This window comes from Homo sapiens, chromosome 16 (assembly GCF_000001405.40).
Source record: "Homo sapiens chromosome 16, GRCh38.p14 Primary Assembly".
NCBI classification, from domain to species: domain Eukaryota; kingdom Metazoa; phylum Chordata; class Mammalia; order Primates; family Hominidae; genus Homo; species Homo sapiens.
In genome coordinates this window covers 32,693,684-32,701,541 of record NC_000016.10, presented here as the reverse complement: position 1 = coordinate 32,701,541, position 7,858 = coordinate 32,693,684, and the positions used below count along the sequence as shown (strand labels likewise).

The 7,858-nt window shown below is 47.8% G+C and overlaps 1 long non-coding RNA gene across 1 annotated transcript; it reads left to right on the top strand.

Moving 5' to 3' along the window:
- The first annotated feature begins 6,971 nt into the window (after window positions 1–6,971).
- Window positions 6,972–7,858, top strand: LOC105371177 (uncharacterized). The gene is made up of 3 exons (XR_950996.4): window positions 6,972–7,405; window positions 7,488–7,608; window positions 7,712–7,858. It is a non-coding gene; the product is annotated as an uncharacterized LOC105371177 (long non-coding RNA).

Below are 7,858 nucleotides of genomic sequence, written 5' to 3'. Positions count from 1 at the left end.
GCTGATAGTGATATAAACCCTAATATCTGGGCCGGAGATGGAGATGAGGATCTTGTTGGGAACTAGAGCAAAGGTGACTCTTGTTAAGCTTTAGCAAAAAAGACTAGTGGCATTTTGCTTCTGCTCCAGAGATCTATGGAACTTTGAACTTGAGAGAGATGATTTAGGGTATCTGGTGAAAGAAATTTCTAAGTGGGAAAGTGTTCAAGAGGAAGTAGAGCATAAAAGTTTGGAAAATTTGCAGCCTGATAATGCAATAGAAAAGAAAAACCCTTGGCCGGGCGCAGTGGCTCACGCCTGTAATCCTAGCACTTTGGGAGGCTGAGGCGGGCGGATTGCCTGAGCTCAGGAGTTCGAGACCAGCTGGAGCAACATGGTGAAACCTCATCTTTACTAAAATGCAAACAATTAGCCAGGTGTGGTGACGTGCACCTGTAGTCCCAGCTACTCGAGAGGCTGAGGCAGGAGAATTGCTTGAACCCAGGAGGCAGAAGTTGCAGTGAGTCGAGATTGCGCCACTGCACTCCAGCCTGGGCAACAGAGTGAGACTCCGTCAACGAAAAAAAAAAAAAAAGAAAAGAAAAAAGAAAAACCGACTTTCATTAAAGCCTCCTGCAGAAATTCGCATAAGTAACGAGGAGCCAAATGTTAATCACCAAGACAATGGGGAAAATGTCTCCAGGACATGAAAGACCTTCACATCTTCACAGCAGCTCTTTCCACCACAGGCTCAAAAGCCTAGTATGGAAAAATCATTTCCTGGAGCAGGGCCAGGTCCCCCTGCTGTGTGCAGCCTAGAGACGTGATGCCCTGCATTCCAGCCACTCCAGCCATGGCTTGGGTGGGAGACACCATGGTACAGCTCAGGCCATGTCTTCGGAGGTTGCAAGTCGCAAGCCTTGGCAGCTTCCACAAGCTGTGGAGCCTGCAGATGCACAGAAGTCAAGAATTCAGGTTTGGGACCCTCCACCTACATTTCAGAGAATGTATGGAAACACCTGCATGTCCAGGCAGAAGTTTGCTTTGGCAGGGCGGGGGGCAGGGGCGGGCGCAGGGGCTAATGAACAACTTCTTTTAGGGTAGTAGAGGTGTGAAATGTGGGCTCTGTCCCCCATACAGAGTCCCTACTGGGGCACTGCCTAGAAGAGCTGTGAGAAGAGGGCCACCATCCTCCAGACCCCAGAATGGTAGTTACACCATCCTCCAGACCCCAGAATGGTAGATCCACCAACAGTTTACACTGTGTACCTGGAAAAGCCATACAAAATGCCAGCTAGTGAAAGCAGCCAAGAGGGAGGCTGTGCCCTACAAAGCCACAGAGGCAGAGCTGCCTAAGGCCATGGGAGACCACCATTTGTGTCAGTGTGACCTGCATGTGAGACATGGAGTCAAAGGAGATCATTTTGGAACTTTAATGTTTAATGACTGCCCTGTTGGATTTCAGACTTGCATGGAGCCTGTAGCCCCTTTGTTTTGACCAATGTCTCCCATTTGGAACAGGTGTAAATACATTGGGGGTACCCAATACCTGTACCCCCATTGTATGTAGGAAGTGACCAACTTGCTCTTAGTTTTACAGGCTCATAGGTGGAAGGGACTTGTCTCAGATGAGACTTTGGACTATGGACTTTTCAGTTAATGCTGAAATGAGTTAAAACTTTGGGGGACTGTTGGGAAGGCATGATTGATTTTGAAATGTGAGAACATGAGATTCAGGAGGTGCCAGGGGAAGAATGATATGGTTTGGCCATGTCCCTACCCAAATCTCATCTTGAATTGTAGCTCCCATAATCCCCATATGTCATGGAAGGGACCCAGTTGGAGGAACTTGAATCATGGGGATGGGTTTTTCCCTGTGCTGCTCTTGTGAAACAGAATAAGTCTCACAAGATCTGATGGTTTTATAAAGGGGAGCTCCCCTGCACATGCTCTCTCTCTTGCCTGCCACCATGTAAGACATGTCTTTGCTCCTCCTTTGCCTTCTGCCATGATTGTGAGGCTTCCCCAGCCATGTGGAACTGTGAGTCCATTAAACCTTTTTTTCTTTATAAATTACCCAGTTTCAGGTATTTCTTCATAGCAGTATGAAAGTGGACTAACACAATATCAAGCCCTGGTTTGGGGTAATAATCACTACCTTCTAGGTAACCAGAATGCAAAAAATATAACAGAAAAAAAATCCTAAAAATCATCCTGCATACAAGAAAAATGAAACCGCCATTCTCCATTCTCAATTAACCAGGGACACAATGCACTGCAGAAAGCCTCAGGGACCTCTGCCCAAGAAAGCCTGGGTGTTGTCCAAGGTTTGCCCCCACTGAGATGGGATAGAAGTCTCTGACTTCTGAACTGGACACAGGAGTTCTCAAAATCACCAGACAAGGCAGTGAGATGGCATGGTAAATGGTAAGGGAGGTCTCTTTGCGGTTGAGATAAGAGGAATGCTTTGGTCTCCTGCTCATCCCTGGGAATGGAATGTCTCAGTGTAAAGCTGACCATTCCTACTCATTCTATTCTGAGATAGGAGAAAACCACCCTGTGGCTAGAGGTGAGATATGCTGGCAGCAATACTGCTCTGTTACTCTTTGCTAAACTGAGATGTTTGTGTAAAGAGGAACATAAATCTAGCCTATGTGCACATCTGGGCACAGTACCTTTCCTTGAACTTATTCATGATACAGATTCCTTTGCTCACATATTTCCCTGCTGACCTTTCCCCACCTGTTGCCCTGCTACACTCCCATCACTAACATAGTAAAAATAATGATCAATAAATACTGAGGGAACTCAGAGGCCAGCGCTGGTGCGAGTCCTCTGTATGCTGAGCACCGGTCCCCTGGGTCCACTGTTCTTTCTCTATACTTTGTTTCAGTGTCTTATTTCTTTTCTCAGTCTCTCCTCCCACCTGACGAGAAATACCCACAAGTGTGGAGGGGCTGGCCCCCTTCGATGTCTATTATGGTGGAGTGTTTCCAGTTCTGTCTTTCCTAATACTGCCCAATAGAAACTTGACTCCTAGAGTTTGTGTAATTTTAATATATTTTAGCCATTTCCCTGTCAATTTTTATACCATACAATAACAAGGAATTTGACTAAATCTCTTAGGGTTTTTTAAAAAATTATATGAGAAGCTAAAAAATTTATTTTTACTAAGGTAAAAGAAAAAGGAATAATCACAACAATAGCCATAATTCTTCTGTCTATGAAGAGCCCTTCAGGTGGTGACATCAGAACTCACAACAACAGCATAAGGGAAGTAGAACAAATGCAGCCAAAGTCCCCCGTACACCTCCCTTTTCTCTTCTAACCACAGAATTCAATCGTGTATCCGTTTACTCTGGAATGAAAGTATCTGTAGAAACCATGAATGTTTCATCTGTTTTTCTTTTCTTTTCTTTTCTTTTTGAGACGGAGTCTTGCTCTGTTGCCAAGGCTGGAGTGCTGGTTGCTCTGTTGCTCTGTTACTCTGTTGCCCAGGCTGGAGTGCAGCTTACATCTTTGCTTCCTGGGTTTAAGTGATTCTCCTGCCTCAGTCTCCCGAGTATCTGTGACTCCAGGTGTGTGCCACTATGCCTGGCTAATTTTTTGTATTTTTAGTAGAGACCATGTTTCACTCTGTTAGCCGGGATGGCCTCAATCTCTTGACCTTGTGATCCACCCGCCTCGGCCTCCCAAAGTGCTAGGATTACAGGCATGAGCCACCGTATCCAGCCTCATCTGTTTTTCTAATGTGTAGTGTCCAGCCCTACGGGGTTTAGCAGGTGTTCTCCCTGTGTGCGGAGACGAGAGATTATAATAAATAAAGACACAAGACAAAGACATAAAGAGAAAGCAGCTGGGCCCGGGGGACCACTACCACCAAGACGCAGAGACCACTAGTGACCCCGAACAGCTGGACGGGCTGATATTTATTGCATACAAGACAAGGGGGCAGCGTAAGGAGGGTGAATCTTCTAAGTGATTGACAAGGTGAAGCAAGTCATGTGATCACAGGACAGGGAGCCCTTCCCTCTTAGGTAGCCGAAGCAGACAGAGAGAAGGAAGCATATGTCAGCGTTTCCTTCTATGCACTTATAAGAAAGAACAAAGACTTTAAGACTTCCTTCTACCATTATCTACTATAGACTTCAAAGAGGAACCAGGAGTATGGGAAGAACATGAAAGTGGACAAGGAGTGTGACCATTGAAGCACAGCACCACAGGGAGGGGTTTAGGCCTCTGGATGACTGTGGGAAGGCCTGGATAATTTATCCAACCTCTCACAAGAAGCTGGTGGAGCAGAGTGTTCCCTGACTCCTCCAAGGAAAGGAGACTCCCTTTCATGGTCTGCTAAGTAATGAGTGTCTTCCCAGACACTGGCATTACCACTTGACCAAGGAGCCCTCAAGCGGCCCTTATGGGGGCGTGAGAGAAGGCTCACCTCTTGCCTTCTAGGTCACTTCTCACAATGTCCCTTCAGCACCTGACCCTATACCCGCCGGTTATTCCTAGGTTATATTAGCAATGCAATAAAGAGTAATATTAAAAGCTAATGATTAATAATGTTTATAATAATGATTGATAATTGCCCATGATCATCTCTATATCTAATTTGTATTATGACTATTCTATTCTAACAATTTTCTTTATTATACTGAAACAGTTTGTTTCAGTCTCTTGCCTTGGCACCTTGGTGACCTTTCGCCCACACTAATGGTCATATAATATAGTTTAGATGTCTCCTCCAAATCTCATATTGAATTTTAATCCCTAATGTTACAGGTGGGGCATGGTGGTAGATGGTTGAATCATGGGGATAGATTTCTCATGGCTCTGTGCTGTCCTTGTCATAGTGAGTACTCACGAGATGTGGTGGTTTAAAAGTGAAGCATACCCCTCCCTGATCTTTCCTGTTTCAACTCCTACCATGTGAGATTCCTGCAGCTCTTTCATTTTTCATCATGATTATAAGCTACTTTAGATGTTAATATTGTTACAAAATTTCACTGAATTTTCTTGTAAAATTACCTGACAAAGTTTATGTTATTATACCATTAATGTGATAAATAAATATATTATGACATTACAACATATTATGATATCATAATTCATATGTATTATGACATCACAATATATTATGACATCATAATGCACACACAACATGACATCATAATATATTATGGCATCATAATTTATACTACAACATCACAATATATCATGACATCATAATGCACATGTATTATGACATCAAAATTCATAGGCATTATCACGTCACAGTATATTGTGACATCATCATCAGTATGTGTTATGACATCACAATATATTATGACATTATACTTCATATGTATTATGGCATCACAGTACATTATGACATCGTACTTTGTATATAATATGATGTATCATGAATTATTATGTAAATGATATGTATTACATATCTATTAGATGGCTCTGGATGTCTTGGGCTCTGTGGGGCAGGCTGGGGGTCAGAGGAGACACACATGCTGCAGATGGGGAGACTGGGGCACAGGGTCCTGGGGTTCCAGGAGCAGTGAGGAGGCCAGGATTGGCCTGTGGGGACTTTGATGTTGGCTCTGGGTGAGGTGGCTACTGTAGGTGTGAGCACAGCAGTGCTTGGGGGCTCAGGTGGCTGCCAAGGGGCAGATGGATGGAGGGGACAAAAGCTACAGCCCAGCAGGAGGGCAGGGTGGCCATGAGGGTTGTAAAAGTGATGCCAACAGCATTTGTGGGGGATTGGCTGTGGGTGTGAAACAGCAGCAGCGGAACAATTCCCAGTCATTCTGGCCTGGAACAGTGGCAGGTGAACTCTGCCCAGTTGTGGAGGGGTCTGTCAGGAAGATGGGGCTTCTGGTTTCAGAGGAGCCCAGAGATGTGCTCAGGCAGATGAGGGTCCTCATGGGATAGGCATGGGAGAGGCAGCTGCAACTTGGGGACCACTGGTGGTGGGCTGAGCCCCTGAGACCTCTGGAGTGAGCAGGAAAGAAAGTGAGGAGGAGCCAGCCAGGGAGCCAGAGGCAGAGGGAAGAGAGGAAAGTAGACCCCGGGAGGAGCAGACAGGAAAGGATGAAAATTTCCCCTCACCTGCCTCAGCAGCCTCTGCCCCTGCCCACACACCCTTGTGCACTCCCCCTGAGTCCCTACTCACCTCTGCCTACCCAGCCATCCCAGGATGGTGTGGGCTCAAGCTCTGGGGGTAACTGAAGAGCCACTTTAAGAAGGCACAGTCTAGAAGTGAGCAGCATTGAGTCACTGTTGTCTCCCAGTCCTGGGAACATCCTGTGCCACAGTTTGCTGAGCTGTCTTAATCACCAGTGGGTCCCCATCTCCCACCCCTGGAATCCCAGAGGACAGCTCAGAGTTGTGATTGGTGCCTCTTCCCAGCGTCTCTCTACACAGCTCCCGGCTGTGCTTCAGCATCCTCCACCGAAAGGTGGGCCTGTCGCTGCATGTGAATGGCAAGGAGGTCACTGTGGGGAAGCGGCTGCCTCCTTTCTCTTTCCTGGGCCCCTGGTGCTTCTCTCCTGGGGGTAAGGCAGTTGAGCCTACCCACAAGTCCAGGCAGGAAGGCAGCCCCACCCCAGCACCCAGAAATTAGAAAAACTAGCTGAGGTGTGAGAGGGGGAATGGTGACAGCCCTGGAAGTCAGGATAAAAAAGAGACGAAGCCTCCAGGCCGCCATCCTCACCAGTGCCCACCGGGCCCTGAAGCTCTGCAGGGGGTGGCTTATGGGCTCAGAGGCTTGTGGACCAAGGCTTCTCAGCTGCTTCTGAGGCTCCCAGCTCTGCAAGGGGCTGGGTTTCTTCTCCTGGTAAACTGCTCCCAATGCCTGTCCTGACTCACTCACTTAGCTGGGCTACCTGCTGGGCCTCCTTCCTGGTGGGCCCTCCCCATGTGCCTCCCTGTGCAGGTGGGGTATCCCCTCGAGACTCCATTATTCTTTGAGGCTTTCAGGCCAGGATGAAGAACCCCAGCCTCTCAGCAGGAGCAGCCACTTGGGGGAAGCAGAGGGAATAGAAAGGCACACATTGCCAGCTCTGAGCATGACTGGGTGGGGACATTGTGTTGAAGCTCCTGGGAGCCTCATTCAGCCCAAGTAGATGTCCTTGACATGTCAACACTCTCCCTACACAGGAGAAAAACATGAGACTCGGAGTGGGCAGGGTGATCTTGAATCGGGGGTCTGGTCAGATGGGTCTCTGTTCCTCGCCTCAGCTATGGCCTTCATGTGTGCTTCCACCAGCAGAGACCCCTTCCTGGACTTTGCCCCAGTGGATGGACAGGAAACTGCCAGCCATGCTGGCCACCACAACCAACTTTCACTGCCTGGCTCCTAGCAACCCCACTCTCTCCATCTCCTGGCTGAAGAACCACAAGAGGTCTAAGGAGAGCATCACATCAGGATATTGAGGTGGGCCTGGAAGTTGGTGGGAGTGTGGGCTGGATGTGGAAGGTGGGACCTGTCTTTTGCTTACCTGTCCTTCCACCTGGAGCTATGGCACCAGAAGTAGACCCTGATCATGGAGTGTGGTGCCCTCAGACTGCTTTCATCCCACCTCTGTGATGAAGAACAAGTGCAGCAGCCTTCAGCAGACATGCATGCTGGACAGCTGGGTGAGGACTGTGGCCTGTGGGCAGGGTGCAGGGAGCTAGGCAGCCTCTGAGCTCCCATCTATTCTCTCAATGTGCCCTCCTGACCAACTCTTTCTACCTGCAGGACTGCTGACCAACCAGATGCAGTAAGGTGAAATTCCACTGCAAAGTGTATGGCAACTTAGTATGTGGAGGTGAACAACAGCAAGGTGGGTGTCAATGGCATGCCCTATGTGACTGTGCTTAGGTTAGCTGCTGCTGCTTGTCAGGA